This window comes from Homo sapiens, chromosome 7 (assembly GCF_000001405.40).
Source record: "Homo sapiens chromosome 7, GRCh38.p14 Primary Assembly".
In the NCBI taxonomy this organism is placed as follows: domain Eukaryota; kingdom Metazoa; phylum Chordata; class Mammalia; order Primates; family Hominidae; genus Homo; species Homo sapiens.
Window position 1 is genome coordinate 133,936,982 of NC_000007.14, and position 23,007 is coordinate 133,959,988.

At 39.5% G+C, this 23,007-nt stretch overlaps 1 protein-coding gene across 10 annotated transcripts in view; it reads left to right on the forward strand.

Moving 5' to 3' along the window:
* The window catches only part of EXOC4 (exocyst complex component 4), an 847,874-nt gene that overhangs the window by 683,904 nt on the left and 140,963 nt on the right, over window positions 1–23,007 (forward strand). For all 10 annotated transcript variants that reach the window (XR_007060126.1, XR_007060125.1, XR_007060123.1 and 7 more), the window contains one exon: window positions 910–1,088. Coding sequence is in view for 2 of the 10 variants with exons in the window: in NM_021807.4 (NP_068579.3) it covers window positions 910–1,088 (179 nt within the window). In the remaining 8 variants the exon portion in view is untranslated. The remainder of the gene's footprint in view (window positions 1–909; window positions 1,089–23,007) is intronic.

The following is a 23,007-nucleotide window of genomic DNA, read 5'->3' on the forward strand; positions in this document are numbered from 1 at the left end:
TAGCCCTCTTCCTTTTTAAAAGGAAAGAGAGCTGTGGAAATTAGGAAGCCTGAGTCCTAGCTTTGCCACTCATGTGTCATGTAGGCAGAACAGTTAACTGTTGGAGCCTCCAGTTCTTCATCTCTGCAGTGGCTGAGCTATATGATCTCAGGTCCCTTCCAGCTTCATCCTTTGTAACCCCCTGTAACTTGATTTTTCAACCCCGCCCTGCCCCCTGCAAAACATTTTGAAGATATTGGGCTCTGCGTGAAACCCACTAGATTATATTTTTCCAGTCAGTAAAAGGATCCCAGCATTGATTTTTTTTAATTGGTTTCTTTTTCCAAATGCTAAATGCCTTAATACTTATACTTTATGTGTGTTGGATCCTTTTTAGAACAACTAAGTAAATGAATAAATGAAGCCTGTCATCCATCTCAGTTGTAACCTCCTCTTTTAAAGAGGCTGGATCGTCTTTGCTTTTGAACATTATTCAATATTTTCTAGGTGCCAGATTAACTTGGTTATTTTATTTTCACTACAATAAACTTTAAACCATGTACATATTTAACACCCTAAGCTGTTTATCAACTTCTATAGCATAAGAAGAGGCAAGGAAAACACCTACAGGAGAGCAGTATAGACGCCATCCCCAGGAACCGTCACTGTATAAATCAGGCCCATACTGGTCCCTGTTGAAGGCACAATCATTGGAGTCACTTATTTCTTCTTCCAAGAACTTTTTCCCTTATCAGAATCATGTTAAGCAGGCATGTGATAGTTGTCTCACAAAGTTAAACCTAGGAAAAAGAGCACGCTGTAAAATAGTGCTCATGTCAGTCCTTGTGCTAGGTGTGCCTAAAACAGTGTTGCCCGGTCCTACCTTTTCCATGCTGTATATATGAAGTGTGTTTCTGATTTGCTTTTCAGGGCAGCTTTTGGCAAGGAGTCTGAAGTTCTTATTGGGAACCTGGGTGATAAATTAATCCCTCCACAAGACATCCTTCGTGACGTCAGTGACCTCAAAGCCTTGGCCAACATGCATGAAAGCCTGGAATGGTTGGCAAGTCGAACAAAGTCAGCTTTCTCCAATCTTTCTACATCCCAGAGTAAGTATCTAGTAGGAAGCTGTTGTGGGGACAGTTGAGGAACTAGACTGAATGCATTCATTGAAAGATGAGAGTGTACACTGGTCACCGTATGGGGGCGTGTCCCAAGCTGTCAGAAGATCCTGGTTAGAATTCTGCTTGTGTTGCACCTCTTGTACTTTGTGATTCTGGGAAAGGAACTAATCTTGGTTTCCCTGTGTGGAATGTGGGAATCCAGGAAAGGCCCATGTTAATGTGGCTTGATATTAACATGGCCTTAGAAACATAAATTCATCTAGGATTGAGCCATTAAGTCTCAAGAACAGAAAGCAATACCTTTTTTCCTCCTTACAACAACTTCTCAAGGGCAGAAACTGTCTCGGAGCTCAGGGCTGTATGCACAGCTGACATTCTCATTTTACTTGACATAAAGCTAATCTTTTTATTAGTCATAGAAGTGATTAAGGTGCTAGAAAATAGAGTCAATGAAGACAACAATTATTCTGGAAAAAAGATGGCTAAGAGATAGCAATTACAGATTTCAAAGAAATTAAGGAACAGAACATGAAATTAGGGGGAACCTCTTTTTCTATGAAGGACCAGTGACTTAGAGAAAAATAATTTGAAAACTTTAGGGCACATAAACTTTAATAACTATAAAATTATATTTAAAGCATTACTTCAGGAGTATGTATAACACAGTTAAAATAGAGACAAAGAAAACATGATATGAAGAAGGCATAAAGGAAAAGGCAGATTTATTCTTTATTTGTTGAGACAGTCTCACTCTGTTGCCCAGGCTGGAGTGCAGTGGCACAATCTCAGCTCACAGCAACCTCTGCCTCCTGGGTTAAAGCGATTCTCATGCTTCAGCCTCCCGAGTAGCTGGGATTACAAGTGTGCACCACCACACCTGGTCTCAAACTCCTGGGCTCAAGCGATCCACCTGCCTCGGCCTCCCAAAGTGCTGGGATTACAGGCGTGAGCAAGCACGTCCAGACCAAAAGACAGATTTAGATGTGTGAATGGAGAGATAGAAACAGGATAGAAAAAGCAAAAGAAACAGCAGGAAGGATAAGGAAGCAAAATCACCTCTGAATTTAATATTAGGGCTATTAGACAGTTATTAGAAAGAAAACACATTATTTGGACTGTACATGTCAGAGTGAGCTTTTTTTAATCACCGTCATTTGAGAAGGTATTATTACTTGATTAACCATGTTTCCAGCCTAGAGATGGAAAGGTGTGGATTAAATTCACAGAGTAAATTATTCGCTTATCCTCTAAGAGTCTAAGGAACCCCTTGAGTGCTCACTACTTGCATGGCCTCATGCTGATTCTCTGCCTATCCCAAGGGCCAATGCAGGGTGGGAAGAAGGGACTGAAGCAGTGGGCTTCAGAGGGAGATCATAGAATCTGCACCAGAAATCTCCTTAAAATATTACTGCATATTTATACTTTTATTCTTACGTCTTTTATTGAAAATACTACTTATTTTTGAGACAGTCTTGCTGTATTACCCAGGCTAGTCTTGAACTTCTGGCTTTAGGTGGTCCTCCCATTTCAGCCTCCCAAGTAGCTGGGACTACAAGCATGCACCACCATGCCCAACTCTAAAAGACTGCTTTTTATCTGATGATGAAATTATACAAGTTTATTCTCAGAAATCTATAAGAATAGAAAATGTGTCTACCAATTAAGGATAGTTTGGGCACAGTATTACTTTTGAGCAGATTTTACATAAGGAGGTATCCGTAAAGGCCCCTTTAACTTTATAATCCCATAATATCAGGCAGTTCTATTACAAGCAGCAGTTTAAATTATCCATTTTGTCTCCCAAACCCACTCTGCTCCCTTCTCCCCTCTAGAAAAAGTCAGAAAGAACTAATTTTTTCTTTGCTAATTGCAAAATGAGCAGCTCTAAAAAAGGGGCCACTTGCCTCTTTTCCTAGTTTTCTTTGACTTGCAAATGCAGAGCTGCTTAGGTAGTTTATTTAGTAATGTTTGGAAGGGGTGCTCTCATTTAGTATGTCATTAGCATCTAATATTTAATGCTACAATCTCTTATTTCTAATGACATACCATTCTAGATTTCTATTCTGCCCATTCTAAAAGGGCTTCACAAAGCAAGATAGTACATAACCTGTGTAGCAAGCCACTGAGTGATTTACACAGGCTAACCTGGCATCAACTGTTTTCAAAAGGAGAAAGATGCATTCTGAGTTATGCTTAACTTTGTAATTGCACGATTTAGCTGTTGTGTTCATGTCACTGAAAGTACCCAGTAAAGTTGATGTCTAATTCATGCCTATAATCATCTCTGTTATTCTGACAAAGATCTCATCTACCACGCCTGTTAATCCTTTGCCTCATGTGCTCAGTTCCATTTTATAATATAAGTTGTACCCTCTCAGTTCCTTGCAGGGTGATTATTCCACCCAGTGAGTGATTTAAGTAACTGTCAGCATTTTGAGGATCAGTGCAAAACCCAAGTGAACTGTAATCACTACTTATGGTGTCTGCTAAAACAAAGCATCAAGCAAGCCTGGTTTATCCTACTAACAGCAAGCCTGGCTCACCCCCACTTATGTGCTCTTTGAATTCCCAGGAGAGATGCCCATTGATGTTTATAATTTGAACAAAGCAGGGGATTCTCTGATAATGGCTTACTTTGATTGCCCTATGTCAATGTGACTCTAGAAAGGGAACAAGGGGACAGCTTTTTATTATTTTTTTTTTTTTGAAAAGTGAACCAAATGATTACTGCAACAAAAGTGTTTCCAAGTCTGGAGACTAGAGAACATGAGGAAAATGCTCAGCAGGATGGGAAGAACTCAAGAAGATCTTCAGTTTATTTCTTGTTCCACATTCTGTTAACTATTTGGTATGGTAAAGGCCATGTTTTATTAAGCTTAAGAAGCTATTGCTGTGATAGGGTGGAAAAAGTTTGCAGAAAATTATTTTCTTTCTTTTTTTCTTTTTTTTTTTTGAGATGGATTCATGCAGTGGCGCGATCTCGGCTCACTGCAGCCTCTGCTTCCCAGGTTCAAGCGATTCTCCTGCCTCAGCCTCCCTAGTAACTAGGATTACAGGTGCCCACCACCACGCCTGGCTAATTTTTAGTATTTTTAGTAGAGGCAGGGTTTCACTACATTGCCCAGGCTGGTCTCGAACTCCTGATCTCGTGATCCGCCCGCCTCGGCCTCCCAAAGTGCTGGGATTACAGGCATGAGCCACTGCGCCTGGCCGAAAATTATTTTCATAGTAGAATATCTCTTCAGATAGGACAGTAGGAGTCTCATCCACCTGAACATTTCATGTCAGGTATTACATTTAGAAGAAAGTAGAGAAAAAAGTTCTACATTTTAGTTGCAGAGCATGGCTGGCTATACATTGTTCAGGAGGTTAAAACTAATTATTTTTTTCCTAAGGTAATTTTTTCATCTCTTTTAGTGTTTGCCTAAATGTTTCTCTATCTCCTTTACACATAAAAGGGTCTCCTGGTTGTATCTAGCTCCTGACCACACCAAAGGTACCACTCTTGCATTTCCCCTACCACACAGTACACAGTTCCCTGTTCCTTCTCCTCTGGTATTCTCCCCTCAGTCTTTCTGACACTGTTTCTGCTTAAGATTCTTTCAGTTGAAAGTCACAGACTTAATTGAAGGAAAAAGAATGCATTGACTCATACAGCAGATAAATCAAAGGACTTCAAGAGTGGCTGGATCCAGAGGTTCCCAAAATATCGTCAGGTCCCAGGCATGCTTACAGATTCTCTCTCTCTCTCTCTCTCTCTCTCTCTCGGATCTAAGTTTCTACATGTTTTCCTGCATTCATCACAATTTCAACCTTGTAATAAAGGCACAAATAATGCTGGCTCTTTGTAATGCCTGCTGTTTGTAAGATCCCTAAATAAAGACTCCAAAATTGTTATCATTAAGAAAATTCTCAGAACAATATATGACCTACATAAAAATTGTTAGACTATTTTTCAGTTTAACAGTAGTGATTTTCTTTTGCATCTTATCCTCTTGTTTTAAAGATGGATTGTTTTTAAAAATAGACTACACAGAATTTGAAGGAGGCTCAAGGGCTTATTTTGTCACCATGGCTTCCTTAGGGAGGCCCTTCTCTCTATCTTGGATTCTGTAAAAATCTCTGGGATTAGAGATTCTACAACCTCCTTGATTATATATTCTACTCCATACCATCTAGGAAGTCTTTTTTTTTTTTAAGTGAAGCCCCTGTGCTTCAGTCTAAACCTCATTCTTCTTTTGTACTCTCTTCAGAAATTAAATAATTACTATTAATGACTATTTTCTCTATAAAATATTGTAATGCATCCAAAAATATTTCTGTAGCCTCTTCTAATTTTTTGGGCAAATAAATCTCATAGTTTTGGTTGCCAGAATTGGTTTGTGAATTGCAGTATTAGTTATACAATTATTTATATACTTATTTCTTACAGGTAAATTATTGTTAGGTATCTTAGAAATCATCTGGTCTAACTCAGTCATTTTGCATATGAGGAAATTAAGGTCTCAGGGTGGTTATATCACCTGTCTGTGCCAAACTGAGATGGAGCAGGTCTTCAGAATCCCAGTTTAATTTTCTTTCTACTACGTCAGTTAGAGCCACTAATTGGACCGTTCATGCCGTATTCCTATTAAACCATTCCAGCAGGGTTGGCATATTTTGTTTTAATGGAAGCACTTTAATGCTTACAAGCAAGTTGTGGTCATTTCTGATCATTTTCTTGTGCCTAAACAGAATTTCTACACCTAAATATATGGAATTATTGTACAAACCCCTCTTGAATTTCATCTTAGTTGCAATAAAACATTTCTGTAATTTGCCACTCTCTATTTTTGTTTTGCAAGTATTTTCTAAGTTAGAAACTCCATCTGTCTTGTTATCATGCCGTGTAATATATTCTAGATATTGCATTGCCCTATATATTAGCCACTAGCCTTGTGTGGCTATTTAAATTTAAATTAATTAAAGTTAAAAATGTAGTTCCTCTGTCATACTAGCCATGTCTCAAATGCTCAGTGGCTGTTATATTGGACAGTATAGGTATAGAACACTTTCGTCATCACAGAAAGTTCTGTTGGCCAGTGCTGTAGATCATCACTGAGGTCATTGATAAAGGTTAAAAATAATGCCAGTCCATATTCTTAGCCTTTGAAAGATACTTGAAATGCCTACCTAGTTCTATCAAAACATGGTGAACTACTTTAATTGTCCAGCCTCAGATCACATGTACCCTCCTGATGAAGGTTGATGTTTTTGGCTCTGCATTATCAAAATTTCTCCTATTGATGTTAACTAATGCTAAAGGGAAAAGGTTTTGTGATCAAATAGACTTGGAAAATATTAAAGCACATTAAATATAATTCAATACCAGAAAACCTCTAAAATCTTTACTATATTAACCAGATAATTACAGCAGTGGAATGTTTCTTAAACTTACTTTTCAGTGAAATTCTGTTGTCCCAGCGTATCTCACGGGGCTTTTTATCCATGAAACAACTTCTGGGTGACACTGCCCAATGCTATATTTATGTAATTTGTTTAGAATATTTTATTTCTCCCGGCACCATCAGGCTCAGGGCAGATGTTCCACTATTGCGGGAACTTAATTTCATATTATTGGCAAATTTGCATACCATCAGATGACTTATTTTGCAATTTGGTTATTTGATTATTTGATTCATTTAGTGATTTTTAGAAATGTTCAAGTCAGCCAATATAAAATAACCATGGTTTCCCTTTCCGCCTGTTTCAGGCTTGGCTACTGCTATAGTGACCCTTTTCCAGTCATTGTGCTTTTCTCACAATTCTCAAAGATTCTAGCTGCAATTTTATAACACACCCCAATTCATGCAATAATGTCAATGTATCCATGGTGGGGGTCCTGGGATTGATTTATGATAAAAATTTTGTTGTATAATATTTTTAGATTTAGTGTAAAGTTGCAAAGATATTACAGATAATCTCCTTATCTCTCTCATCCAGTTCCCCTATTGTTAATATATTAGTATGATACATATGTTACAAGTAATGAATCAATATTGATACATTATTATTAATGAAAGTCTATACTTAGTTCAGATTTTCTTAGTTTTTCCCTGATCTTCTTTTTCTGTTCTAGGATCTCATCCAGGATATATCACATTTATACCACAGTTTTCCCATATCACAGTTATCACATATATCACATAGTGATGTCTCCTTAGGCTCATTTAGACTGTGACAGTTTCCTAGACTTTCCTTGTTTTTTGTGACCTTGAGAGTTATAGGAATTCTGGTTGGGTATTTGTAGAATCTTCTTCAATCTGGGTTTATCTGGTGTCTTTTCCTGATTAGACTGGGCTTGTGGGTTTTCAAAAGGAAAACTACAGAGGGGAGGTACCATTCTCATGAAATCACATCAAGGGTACATATCATCAGTGTAACTGATTACTGATGATGTCTGGGATTGACTTTGTGCCTCCAATTTGTGTAGTCCTCTCTAGGCAGTTCCTTCCAAATTTTGGATTGACTCTCCACTTTCTGACTACAAATTGCTTATCTTTCTAGTGGCTATTTTTTTAACATGATAGAAGCATCTTATTATAAGCCCAATGTTTGGATGAGTTGAATACTTGCTAAGAAAAATGGTTGTCTACCTTAAACAATTATGCAGTTGATAATGGATTATAATCTTGTGGGTCTGAAAGACTCTGTGGGAGGAGCTGTTTTTTAATACCTTGAGCCACTTGACTAAGGCCTGTAGCTACTTTTGGGTTGCTACATGTGCTAAACATCCCTTAATAAATGTATACAACCATATTAATTTCAAACAAAACCATGCTGACATTAAAAGAGTTTAACTAAATTTCTTCACTAAAAATAAAGTCTTATTTTAACCCATTTTAATTAAACTGTAATGTGCATTGTTGACTCAAAACCCATTCACAAGTGGAACTCGCTTCCTGAGATAAGTCCTTTTAGAGTAGAATACCTCATAATACCGAGCTGCACATCAGTTATAATCAGTTAGAGAGCTGTAAAAATACTGATGTAGAGATTTTGATGTAATTGTTCCTAGGTATGACATGGGCAACAGGCTACACCCCAGACCAATCAAATCAGAGGCAGAGAAACCTATGTTGTAAAGGAGTGGTTTTCAGCCTCATCGCATTAGAAATGCCTGTGCTTTTTAACATATCCCCAGGCAATTTTAACAAACAACCAAGGTTGAGAACCACTGATTTAGAGCCCCTAAAAATTTCTTCTTTAATTTCTGTCACTCTCTATATTTGGGAAATGCTTTGTAATTATTTTGCCAGTTCTTCTATCCTCTGGAGCTTGAGATTAACGTGATTTCCCATTTTACAGAGAAGAACTGTAGGCATGGAGATACGGTACTTCGTGTCCATGCCAGAGTCGGGACCACAGCCTTGCTTAGCAGTTGTTAGCTAAACTGTCACCCAAATCTGATTAACAACAAAAATGTTCCTCTTACACTTTTCAAGCCAGCTAAATGAGAAGGGCACAAGGAATCTGTGTCTCTCAACACAAAAGGCTGCAATTGCCAAACCAATGGAATGAATGTAGATATGTCATTGAAAATAAATGGAAAAGGCCGAGGTGTCGGTCCACCCCCATCCCCCAACCGCACAGTTGCGCAATATTCCAGCATGTTTTTTATGCATTCCCGATGGTGACTTAATATTTTCTATGAGATGGAATGTGAATATTCTCATGCTAGAGCTCACTATCATGGACTCTTTGTGCCTTAATAGTAAATGAAAAATAAAATGCAAATCCTCCAGCTGTTTGTTTTTCTGCCTTGGCACAAATGAAAATAAAAATTTCCCTACCCAAGATCTCTTGGGAATCTGTCGTGTTTCAGGTTTGCTTTTGTCAGACCATTAAGCCGGAGTTTTCCTTGTCATAATTTCATCTGATTCTTTTTAATTAGAACTCTATGCGTGGTAATTCCTCTCTCGCTTCAGTATTTACAAGTTTCAAATATTTGTTGACTGTTATCAGACAGTTCCTCCTCAGCCTACCTTACATGTTTAGTTTCTCTAATCACCTTTCTATGGTTAGACTTTCCGTGCCCTTCATCGTTTTTCATTCTTAGTAGTTGTCATTTTCCTAAGCTGACTTTCATATTGTGGCTTCATTTCTGTCATTCTTCTTTTATTGACGATACCTTCCAAACTCATTGCCATTGGTTGATTTCATGATCATGCTGTTGACTAAGAAAATTAATTTACCATTGGTATTGTATTTTGTTCATGAGCTTCCCACCCCCTGCCTGACTCTAAATATATTTTGGCCTTATCTCATTAACATTACTTGTACTTCTGTTGAGCCTTTCTCTCTTTTAAAAATAATGTCCAAATATATTTCCATGTTGTGCTCAATGTCTCAACTAATGTTTTGTAGGAACAAAAGCACCAACTGATAATTGTATGATGATCCAGTTTTGTTCATTTTCAGTCTTAAATGTACTCTGCTTATATTTACAAACTCGTTGAAACTTATCATAATGAAGAAAGAATTGTGTGGAAAGCCGCTGTGCTTAGCGTGTTCACCTGATTATTCTTAGCTGTCTTCTGAAATCTACGTTATTACTAGGAATGGAGATGCTGCTTGTTCTTTTATTTTCTAAGGAATACCATCTAGACCTCTCTGTCTCCTTCTGTTTATCGTGCAAGCTTCAGACTGACCCCAGTGGGGTTCCCCGTGTTCCTTGGTTTTGAGCATATTTGAAATTGCTGATAACACAAGAGTTACCCCTTTTTTAAAACACATCTACTCTGGTTTTCCCTTTCCTGTCATTGAGTGTCCTCCCTTGGCTCCCCAATCATGGTTACTTTTGACTCTCCTCACATAGCCTTGTCTTCCTATTAATTCATAGAGTCTTTGTCATTCTTATTCCTTAGTCTAGGAGACATATAGCACATATTTGACTTTGAAGTCTGACGAACTTAAGGACAAATCAGGCAAGTTAGGGTATAACCAGGGGGAAACTATTTGGCCTGTCCGAGCTAAATAGGTCTTCTCACCTGTTAAATACAAATAATGATGCATACTCATTGGGTTGCTCTAACTATTAAATGATCTGATGAACTTGAAGTTCTTAGCAGTGTGTGATACACAGTGGGGCTCACTATGGGGTTTCTGGGCTTCCTACCATGAATCTTATCCCTGGAGCTCTCATTCATTGTACTGGGTCTTCCCCTTCCTCCTGCCCCTTCAGGCTTCTCTTTTATCTCAAGTTGTGTGGTTGCTTTCAAAACTGTTAATATGTGTGTTCCTAAATCATTTCCAGTAAATCATGGCTCTCACTCACCAGAGCTCCCAAAATGTTTCTGAGGTCATGGAAGTGTGTCTGAGAATGGGCCTGCACTGGAGGGCCTACAGGTGCTCATCTGAGAAGCCAGGGTTGAATTTGAAAAAGGCACCTTTTGTTCTTCAAAACTACAAAAACAAGGCTCAGCTATTGTTGAAAAACATGCCAAACCCAACCACAATTCCCTCTGTCAATCAGCTGGTCGTTAGTAGAGTTCATTGTCCTGTGCTGATTAGAAAGCAGTACCCCACCCCCCTCCGTAAGGAGGTGATTATCAACTGTGGAGCTACAGAAGGCTAGTGCTGTGGGCATTTCAATGTAATTATGGAGTTCTAAGTACTTGCCCATAAAAAATTATGTGGCTGTTTCTTTGGAAATGCCAACATTTGTACCCATAAGGGAAATATTTTATTAAAATATGATAATATCATGGATGCTTAAGTGTGGTGGCTGGAAGCTGCCAGCTGAATGATTTTATCTTCAAGCAAAACTATAAAATGGAAACAACAAGATATGAAAGAATCTCTGGGAAAGAGGAGAGACAGAAGGAGTTAGAAAGCAAGAGAAGGCTCTAAAATGGCATGCTGAAATTGCAAAGCCAGACAGAGAAGATGGTGGAAATGCAGAATCACCAGAGCCTGAGCCGACACCCAGCACAGCAGAGAGGAGGAGCGGCTGCTGCAGCAGAGTGACTTGAACAAGACATCTGAGTGGATTGATTTGGTTGCCACACAGAACCACGAGTTCCAATGAGGAGCAGTGGAAGATTGTACCTGAAGGCGCTGATTGTGCTATTCAATCTGGCCTCTTATCTAGAAAAACCCTTAGACACTTGGGTGCTTTAAAACCTGGGATAAGCCCAGGAACCAGTGTGAAATCATGACTTAATGAACTCCTCACCAGAGAAAGAGTGTGTCTTTCCATTCTTCACCCTTGAAACTAAGTTTAGATCTACAAAATGCAGTGGGTGAGGGAGACAGATCCTGACAGGGAAATCCAAAAGAAGATGGAGGGCTGGCTGAAGTGACATGGAAGGACTCTCCATTACTTGGTGGGATTGATTTTAGAAAAATGTTCTAAATATAAACTGGATGTGCTTTTTTTCAAACAGCTTCCTTATTAATCAATAGTGCATAAAGACTTTTTCCAGACAGCCCAGGAAAATGTAGCAAAGGGGCGAGATGTGCGAATTGTATGTGTGTAACAGCCCCAAAGGATACTACGGTAATGATAATAGACTCAACATTCAGATTACATTTCAGACTTTCAAGAACCTTTGTAACCACTCATTCTTAATCTCTTATCCCTGCCTCAAGCCGTAGTTGACAGACCAGCCTTTATATTCTCAGTTTTACAAGGCATGAGCATGAAATGCAAAAGTTTGGCAGTTTCCCAAGGTCAAAATCAGTCAATGACAAAAATCCAGACCACATCTGTCTGTTCTCAGAGTGCAGACCAGAGTGTCTGGAAAAACAACATAATCACCTATTACGAGTTACGAGTGACAGAGTTACAAGCACACCAAACCAGCGTGCCTTTGTTTCCCCACGGAGGCAATGCTGTTGTTCAGCTATCTCCCAAAGCTACAGCAGCAAGGCGAATGCAATGCTGTGTGCCTAATATAAATGGTATTTAATAATACACTTTAAAAGGAGGAGTGGAGAAAAGTGAGCTTAACATTATTTGACTCTCTTTCAGAAGCTGAGATGTAAAAGCTGCACCTCTTACCCCCAAAGGACCTATTTTGGACCCAAATTTGGTAGTCATGCATTCAGGGAGAGGTTCTCTTATTATCTTAAATTCAATACTGTGATTTATATTAAATATTGTAAATTATACAATAAAAGATTTCCTTCATATGGGTACAGAGATAGATCAGGTATAGGTCTCTAAGGCACAGTGTTCCTTATTAATAGCAGTTAATTCTGTGTACTAACATCTTTGAGCTCTGGTCGTTGAATCCTAGGTGGATTTGACTAGAGTTCTTAACCAACATTTTAATCCAATTTTTATGAAAGGAAGAGTAATGAGGACTTTTCTCTAAGACTGATGAAAAACCTAAGTGTCTTTATAGAAGCCAAGAATATCTGATCAGATTCTTCAAGGAAGCAAAAATCCTGTAAATGTCAGAAAGATGATGCTGGAAAACCCCTTTGGTCAAATTCATCTAAAGAAGGTACTATTTGTAGGTGACTTTTCAGCAAGTCTGTCAAAAGCTTCTTGCTACAGATAAAAATTCAATAACCTTTCACTGTGGATGTGCCACAATTATCACTAATTTAAAAACAGTCCCTCTAATAGAGTATTTTATCATGCCGGACAGTCTCTGCATTGTTCATTATTTAGTGTTTGCTAAGCTGATGGCACTTCCACCAACTTTTCTTATCTCTACTTCTTCAGAATTGGATTTTATATTTCCAAACCAGCCAGATATGACAAGTCATTTTCTTCTCTCTTGTCTTTTAAGAAACGCAAACTTGATTTTTTTTTAACAATCACCACTTAAAAGATTAAAGTTATTGGCAATGTCTGTATTAACTAGCATTGGGATGTGCAGTAAGGCCTATTGCATTTTAATTGCAACTGGGGTCTTCCCTTCTTCTTTTTTATTCTTTCTCTTTTCCAATACATGTGTATGTATTCTCTATCTCTTTGGAACTCCCCATTCTGCTAAAACACACAGTGTATGGCAAAGATGAGGTATTATGAAGCCTGATGTAGTTAGAAGACAAGGCAAGGAGAGTATTATCAGAACTATTATATTATAGAACCTCCAAAAGGTGGTGATAAATGGTATAAGTAGATCTTTCAGTAAATATAGACTGTCTTTATATGAGAAACTTCCTGAAAGGAAAATGATAAAGTCATTATCCTGACACCCGAGGGATACATGCCACTTCAAACAACATCTCTTTCTATCCATAGCTCATTATTGAAATTTTTAACTATTTTAAGCCTGAAAAAATTCTACTAGCTGTGATTCTGAAAGATTTTAAAAGATCTGTATACTTTACCCAAGCTTTGGACCACGATAAGACAGCCACACATCTTCTGTCATTGGGAACTCTCTCCTTAGGCCTCAGGGCATCTTCTGTCATTGGGAACTCTCTCCTTAGGCCTCAGGGTCTGCTCCTCTGTCCAAGAGAGTCTCTCCCAATTTTCAGGGAAGTATAGAACTTCGTTCAAGAAGTTTGATGATAAGATTTTGACCTTTTAGGGGTACAGTCTTTCAATAGTGATATCAGAATGCTGAAAAAGATTGTGTTAGAAAATCTCACCAAAATATTCATTTTAAGATTTGTGGATTATTGTTGTAAGCATCAAACAGAAATAGCATTGTAGTCAGTCTTCATACATTAATAATAAGGGCTGCCCTTTAGGATTGGCTTTACAAAGAAAAATATTTGCTCAAACTTTACCCAGAGACAGGAGATGCCTGTCACGTCTGCTTCTAAAAGAGGGAGTGTGACTAAAAATCCACCATCTTATTACTTGTTTAATGGTACCACAAGTCCAATTAACGCATTTGTTCAAGCCAACAGCCTTTTAGCTTTTCACAGAAATCTTGGAAGTGTGCTAGAGAAACACCCCCACAAAAAGGTTTTGCATATGCTGCTGTATCTGCCTCTCTCCAGGAAGCGGAGCATGGGTCACTGACAGACAGATGGCTGCCACAAGCGCCACCAGCGGCCAGAAACTCCTCCCACCAGCTCCCATTCCTGCAAAACAAATGAGGAGGGGTGCTTTTCTTGAATGCTGTGCCTGGACTTTCTCTCCCTTGACCCAGCCCTACCCATGGAATACCAAGGCAACCTCAACATCTGTTACACTCCTGCCTTAATTCTATTCCTCAGCACCAGCATAACTCAATAGAGGAGTATGGGCTTGTCCTTGGACAAGGTACTTGACATTGCTGATGATGTCGTCTGTATTATAAATCCCTCATAGGTTATTTGGAGGCTAAGGTCAACTAACGTATACACAACACCTGGTACAATGCCTGCAAACAGTGATCACGTGATAAATAGTAGTTTCTTCTGCTCCTTCTTTTTTAAGCTCTTTTCCTCATTCTTAGTCTTCCTGAGACTATTTTATTTCTTGCTTTCTCATTTAGCTACCAATATTTGCCCATAGTGGTACTCAACATGAAATGCCCAAATCTGCCCTCTGTTTATTTCCCCCTACTCCTGTCCTTCCTGTTGATAGCTGGGTCATTCTGCCCATTCTGCCTGATACTTTAACTTCATCTCAAAAGATCTTTGCTGTATTGCATTTGAAATTAGATTTTGAGCTCTTAAATTTAACAGCCTTCCAAAATCCACATGGCTTGGGAACACAGGCATAGGGTAAGGTCGTATTTATTCAGGGCCACAATGAGTGAAACTTAAGGTTAACCTCCAGATCTCATTAAATGACTTCCTCTGTGAACTTGTATGTCAGCATATCGAGAAATATGGCAATGAAGAAGCTGCTGAATTGGCCAGGTGCAGTGGCTCACGCCTGAATCCTACCACTCTGGGGGGCCAAGGCAGGTGGATCACCTGATGTCAGGAGTTACTAGCCTGGCCAACATGGTGAAACCCCATCTCTACTAAAAATACAAAAATTAGCCAAGCGTGGTGGCAGGCACCTGTAATCTCAACTACTCAGGAGGCTGAGGCAGGAGAATTGCTGGAACCCAGGAGGTGGAGGTTGCAGTGAGCCAAGATTGTGCCATTGCACTCCAGCCCGAGCTGACAACAGTGAGACTGTGTCTCAGAAAAAAAAAAAGAAAAAAAAAGAAGCTGTTGAATTGTGGCTTCAGTAAAAACTATAACAAAAATGGCAGACCAGCTAATTTCAGAGCCCACAGTAGCTCTGGGACTCAGACCTTTTAACATCAAGGGAATGATTCTGTCTGTATTGAAGTGGGCTTTGGAATAGCTGTAGTTAAGATCTACCCAAGCTTCAGCTGGGCATCCTCCACAGGGGTGACAATGATCTGGTTAGCTGCTTACCCCTTCTCTGCTGCCTAATAACACACTTACAGGAATTCTGGGAGTCTCAGTTCTGCTAGGATCTTAGGAGTGTTAGCTAGGAATGGAAATTTGTGTTCTTTTTTGTTATCATTTCAGCCATTTTTAAATGTCCAGTTTGGTGGCATTCAGTACATTCACATTATTGAGTAGCCATCACCATCATCCATCTGCAGAACTTTTTTCATCTTCTCAAACTAAAACTCCATATTCCTTAAACAATAATCCCTCATTTCTCCTTCCCTCCAGCCCTTGGCAACCTCCATTCTACTTCCTATCTCTATGAATTTGACTACTCTAGGTGGCCCATATAAGTGGAATCATGTAGTATTTGTTGTTTTGTGACTGACTTGTTTTGTTTAGCATGATGTCTTCAAGGTCCATCCGTGTTGAAGCATGTGTTAGCACTCCCTTCTTTTTTGAAAGCTGCATGATATTCTATTGAATGGCTGTACCACACTTTATTTCTCCATTCATCCATCAGTGGATGCTTAGGGTGCTTCCATCTTTTGCCTATTGTGAGTAATGCTGCTGTAACATGGGTGGACAAATATCTGTTCAAGTCCTGGTTTTCAGATCATTTGGGTATATACCCAGAAGTGAAATTGTGGAAATTAGTCATTTGAGATTAGATGTACTGCACGTCTTTCTACTTCTTCTCAACTCTCTGATTGCTTATATAAGTGACGTCTTCTGAAGGAAAGTTCAGCATTTTTTCTCAGATATGATAATAATATATGCTAAGATCTTGGCCAGGCACGGTGGCTCACACCTGTAATCCCAGCACTTTGGGAAGCCAAGGTGGGCGGATCACTTGAGGTCAAGAGTTTGCTGCCTTCAAATCAATCATTACTTCTTAGCACCTCTTGAAATAGAAAATAAAAAATTTGGCCAGGCGGTGGCCAGGCGCAGTGGCTCATGCCTGTAATCTCAGCACTTTGGGAGGCTGAGGTGGGAAGATCTCTTGAGCCCAGGAGTTTGAGACCAGACTGGGCAACACAGGGAGACCTCATCTCTACAAAAAAGAAAAAAAAAATTAATTAGCCAGGTGTGGCCCCATTTGTACAAAAAAAAATTTTTTTTTAATTAGCTGGGCATGGTCATGTACACATGTGGTCCCAGCTACTAGGGAGGCTAAGGTGGGAGGAACGCTTGAGCCTGGGATGTCAAGGCTGCGGTGAGGTGTGATTGCACCACTGCACTCCAGCCCAGCAACAGAGAAAGACCCTGTCTCAAAAAGGAAAAGAAAAGAAAAAAATGTAAAAGCCCTAGATAGTACCCTCCTTTCACTCCTAGAGAATTCAAAATTTACAATGGAAATTTAAGCTTACTGTCTTGTTCTCTAGATCAGCTGTTTACAATGTTGGCTATATGCCCCCCAATAATTGTGTAAAACAATACATTGAAGCATGGGAAGGAAACATGAGACCATTTATGTATGCTTTTTAAAAGTAAAACAATCAGAAACATTGCAAGTTTTACTAATATTTAACATAAGAGATGACATGATAGCCCTCATTTGAGCCATATGTGAAGTACTATATGGGAGGAATCCTGCAGGAACCCCAAGGATTCCTCAGCAGAGAGAGGCTCAATCTTCTGCCATTTTTAAAAATTTTCAACATTTTGTAATATGTTCCAGGTGAAGTAGATTTATGGATTACATTTTCTAGTTTTTACTAAACTTACCTTCCCCAAATGGATAAGTGACTTAAAAGGGAAACTGTGGATTGACACTATAAGCAAAAATGAACATGAGAAAATGGCAGAACTGGCATTGTCACTGTTCCTGGTGGGGATCTTCATCAGTCACATTATAATTATCTAAGCAGTAATAATCTATCAGATGACTGGAAACTGGCAAAAGAACTTGTCAAGGATATTATTTGGAATACGGATTTACATCTACAATTATTAACATGAACCTTGCTCTAAGTGTATGTGTGCCTTGAAATATTAGCTAATACATGTTGAAGCTGTAATCATTAGGAAGACATTTAAGAATATCACTTGTTTCATCTTTAGCTTACTTTTTATTGATTTCTTTTCTGGTTATATTTTTAAACTTATATAATGTATTAGTACCAGTATATATAAATAACTAAATGTACATTTACTATTAATCTGGACACAAATATTTTTCGCTGTTGGAATATATAATCAAAGAGGTTTGGAAATTGTTGTGTTACTGGATCCTTGGGGTGTCCCTTCACCAGCAGGAAGCCTCTGTGGCCACTGGTGCCTTTGCCCGAGTTTTGCTCAGGACCACTGGGCTCACTTGACCTGGCAGGCTGTGCTTGGCTTGGCTTGGCTTGTGCTACCGGCCTGGATCCCATGCCTGTCAAGGGCAAGTGGAGCAGCAAGAGGGGTGTGAGCAAGTGAGCATGGGCTCCAGCCACTGCTCACAGCCAGATACACTGGCTGCAGTGGGATGGACAACTCCAGGGACCAGCATAGGCACCAGCTGTCTGTGAGGCTGCAGCTAAACCAGGCATACCACAAGCAGCTTCCACACCTGGCACCAGGGAACACGGTGGTACACGGAAGTTTGGAGACACCAGGAACTGCGGAGCCCCAAAGGGGATGTCACAGCCCTGGCTCGGGGAGCTCCTACATCTGGGCTTCCCAAGGGGCCGCAGCTCTTCTCTCCTCTCTTCTGTCCTTGTTGCTTGCAACTTGGTGAGCAAGGGGAGTGTCTCAGCCCTGTTTATGTTATACCTCTTTTAGCCCTGCCATTCGGCAGGTCCTGATTTCTTGTCCTGCATCCAGGAAGAATGAGTTACATGTTCAAGTGTTGTGTGAGCAGAGTGAAGAGGAGCTTTATTGAGCAACAAAACAGCTCAGTGGAGACCTGCAGTGGGTAACTCCTTTCTGTAGCAAAGGCATCCCAATGAGTATTCAGCTCTCAGCATAGAGGAGACCCTGTGGTGGGTAGCTCCTCTCTGCAGCTGGTTGTCCCGTCAAGTGTTCAGCTCTCAGCAGAGAGGAGACCCTGGAGTGGGTAGCTCCTCTCTGCAGGCAGGTCATCCTGTCGAGTGCTTAAGTCTGGCTGAGTCTGGGGCTTTTCTGGGCTTCAGAGGGGAGGAAGTGTGTGTTGATTGGTCCATGGGTGAGCCTGGAAAAAGTAACATAAGTTCCCACTCTGGTCCATGGGACTGGCAGCCTGGCCCCCAGGCTTCAGACCTTTCTTTACTTAAAGGTGGGGCTTCACCGGGGACCTGGCCCTGTCTGCCCTGGAGCTTGTCTGCCTCCTGCTGCTGTTCATGGTGCCCAGGCTGTTTGTGCCAAGGGGCACCTACAGGCCTGCACCATGCTGCCCTCAGCACCCCATCTGCCTCCCTCCTGACAAGCCAGCACCCAAAGGCCAGAAGGGGCTGGCGTGTCAGCACTTCCCTGAGTGCGTGCATACGTGACCAGGTTGCAACAGTGCCCAGGCTTAGCCTCAACTTTGCTCTGAGATCAGAGTGGGCACTGGGAGCAGGGAGAAGCCAGGCAGTGAGAGTAGGCACTTCTGAGCCTTCAGGGGCAGTTGGGGGGCTTCCCAGGCCCCTGAGAGTCCAGAGATGCCCAGGTCCACAGCTCCAGTTTGGGTGGCAGCAGCTGCACCTGGGAGGGCAGGGCTCCTGCCTGCTCCTGGCCCCCAAGAGCACAGGGAGGCCTGGGTCCGCAGCTGCAACTGGGGGCCATCAATTGCTTTAGACACTATTGTCTCCAAATGAAGTTGTAATGGGACCACAGGGACAGTAGTACCATTGCTTTTTATGTTCTTTTTTTTTTCTTTGTTTTGTTTTTAGATGAACACTGTGAATTGTAGCTGATAATATGACATAATTAGGAGTTTAGCAGTCTCCAGATTCTTTCCATAAAACTTAAAGTAAGTGTTAAAAGATAGAGGCGGCTCAAATAGGATGGGATTTTCTGACAGACAAGCAGACTAACAACAGTTCTTCCTCCCTGGAAGCTCTTTTGTCTGTTTTAATCATTGCAAAGTGAAGCATATAATGGCCAATGCTGGAGTGTACAGAAACTTGGCCTTTCAGTTATCTGTACCTAGTATTAGAACAAACCAGCCCAGATACTTCTCGCAATTCAGTGAGTTGACTGAGCAGCTTTTCTAGCCAGAGCTCCTCAAGTAGCTGTGCTCAGCTGGCAGCTCAGTGGGGGCTGCATCATGTGGGGGAACTGGGGGCCTCTCTCCATGTGGTCCTTTCATCTGGGCTGCTTCAGTGCACACAGGTCTCAGGGCAGCTCCAAGAAGGCAAAGACTGAAGCTAGAATAGCTAAGGCCCAGATTCTGAAACTCACATAACAGAACTTCAGCCATATCCTATCAGTCAGTGTAAGCTATAAAGCCAATCAAGATTTAAGAGGTGAGGAAAAGACTCTATTTCTTAATGGGGAAAAGCTGCAAAGAATTGTGATCATACTTATTCCACCACACTGGTAAATTAGGAAGAAACAATACCAAAAAAGATATTTATAATTAATCACTTTGGCCTGTACAGAGAGCATGTTTTCTATGCATTTCCTTATAAAAAGTGTATTTTCCACGTGATAATACCATTGATTTTTTTTTTTGTCAATGTGAGAACTATATAGAGAGGCTAAAATGTGCAACTGAAATGATGCATCTTTTCAGTGTTCCTCAGTGGCATTCTCAAAATGATCGTTATATTCATGGCTTAAAATTAACTAAATTAAGTTTTCAATGCAAGTGTTCCCTAAAGTCAAAGCTTTTCTTCATTTCTTCATTAGAGATTAATTTGTAGCATGTCTCATTGAATGGATTGTTCACAGTGATTGTTTTTCAGTTAGACCTCTTAGAAATAGTTTTATTTTAGAAAGGCAGAATAATTATAGACTGTTAAATGTCTAAGTGACCCTGAATAGTTCTAGGAAGGTGTACAGAATACTGATACTTCCTTAATGCCATATATGCTGGAAATTTTAGAGTAAATATACATTAATTAAAATATCTACCATAACTTTCAAGCACTTACTTTTGAATAACTGTAGTCTTTAGTCTTCAGTAAAATCCTGATGCAAAGTACAACTTAGTCTAAATTAGGATTTTCCTGATAGAGTCTAAGGAGTACAAGCCACTCTGGTCTTTGGAAAGTCAAGATTCTTAAATGTTAATGTGGCATTTCCTGTGTTGACCATTTGGATAATGGATTACTCCATCATTTCTTTTGTATACCCACCCTTTATAAGGATTATTTCTTAATCCTTATATGTTTCACATACATCATGAAACAACAAAAGGCTTCATTATCAGGAGCTTCTATTCGCTTCAGCAGAACCATTTGAAACATCTAAACAGTTGAGAAATGCATCCCAGTAATATACTCAGAAGGCCTAGGAAACAAGAATAGTGAAAATAGCTATTAACTCAAATTCATTAGGGGTTAATTAGCCATGTTGCAATCTCCTTAATTTTCTACTTTCCACACTGAATTAGTCATGTGTATTACTTAACCCAGCCACTATTGCCAGATCAGTTAGCACTACGATTCCTTTTCCTCAGCAATGCTTCATATTATGACTTAGATCATAAACCAGAGCACCAGGTAGAAATCACAGCCAATCTGAGTGTGCTGCATGGGGCCTCGTGATACTTCCTGTTAATTTAGATGTTGACAGGGCCAGTATCAGTAATGAAATTAGTTCAGGGCATAACTCCTTGAACATAGCAGGCACTTAGTAAATGTTTTATCAAATTGAATTAAATTAACAAAATGCTTCCAGTGAGGGCCTGAAATCTTCTACCTTGCTTTTATTTGCCAAATTGGCTACTTAATCAAATGAATCAACCATTTTTCTTATTTTTGCAAGTACTATCATTTCTTTTCCTTTTTTTTTCTCCCTCACATTTCAAAAACTGATAGTAACAATTACTAATGTCTTATAGTACTGGGACGTTCCTCTCTAGTCATCCATTTATCTCTGCTAAGAATTTCTCTTAGGATTAAATAGTATGATTACTATTTCCACATATTTCCACAGTATTTTGGTCATTAACATACATATTTAAAGCAATATATTTAATTATATGCCTATTTTATCCCTTGCTAAATGTGGATTTTATTTACTGAAACTGTTCTCTCTGACTTTCTACTTTGACTTCTCTTTCTTTTTCTTAAACAATCTTTCCTATAGTACCTACTCTGGCACAAAAAACACTGTTATATTCCAGAAGTTCTTTTTTAACCCAAAAGTTAGAGAATTGGCATAGCTACTGACATTGAAAGAGGAAATGAAGATAAGGCTAAAAACAGGAGGACTTGTTAAAAGTCTGTTTAGGATATATTTACCCTCAGATTTTTCTCTCTTACTTCATATACCTGTGCCACTGCTTCTATCAGAATTGCAGCTGAGCACTGGAGTTTTAGTTTCTGAAAATGGTAAAATAGAGATTCCTTGGACTGAGGGACATAAGTCATAGCTGAGTGTGAGGGCTGTTATTCTGAAATCAGGCAAAGTTTACATTAATGACTGCTGACACTTCTGTTCTTTTTCCTATTGGCTGGCATCCAGGAATATAACTTCAGACAAAAGACTAGAAAGTCTTTTCTGAAAAATCTGATAAGCACCAGGATGGTGCAGGTGTAGGCGGGAGATAGACACTAACATCAGTGGTTCTCCAATAAAAGAGACCAGCCAGATCACCTACAAAGACAACTACAATGCATCAGCCTTACCTCCAGACACAAAACTCCAGTCAGCCCCACTTAAATATGAGCAGACAGCCAAGAAGAGTAATGTTTGAGGAAACCTTATAATAGGAAACAGAGACCAAAACAAACAGGAAAAGCAACTTAGAGGAAACAGGGATTATCCAGAAATTAAGAAAAACTTAAAAAATGAAAATTAATATCCCTAGAAGAAATAAGAGAAGATATTGTATTCATGAAACAAGAGTAGTATAGTATATGAAAGGAACTTTCAGAAAACAAGAACTCTTAGAAATAAAAAATAAAGTGAAATAAAAATCTCAGAAGATAGAACTGAAGAAATATCCATGAAGGTGGAAAAAAAAGACAAAAAAGAAAAAGGACCCTAGGAAGCAGCAGGATATTCCATAACTGAATTTTAGGTCTACAGAGAAAAAAAGGAGAGAAAATAGAGAGGGCCATAAAAAAAATTAAGAAAAATTCCCAAAATGGAAAACAGGAATTCTCAAAATGAAAGGACCCAGTGGATGAAAACAGACCTACATCCTCACCAAGGCAGTCATCTCAAAATTGCAGAACCCTCAAGTTAGAAAGAAAACCCTACAACTGTCAGAAGAAAAAAAAAATAAAAGTTTTTCTAGAAAGTACATCTAGAAAAGAAGCAGAAAAGCAATGATTTGTCAAAAGTGGCAGAGGAAGTTAGGTGACAAAAAGAAAAAAAACTATCAGATTCTAAGAAAATTGATTTTCAACCTAGAATTGTTTATCTAACCACACTACCAGTTCCATGTAAGGGAAGAATACGGACGTTTTCAGACATACAAGTTCTCAGAAAACTTATCTTCCATGCAGTCTTCCATAGAATCTACCAAACCGAAGGAGTTTACATAAAAATAGGA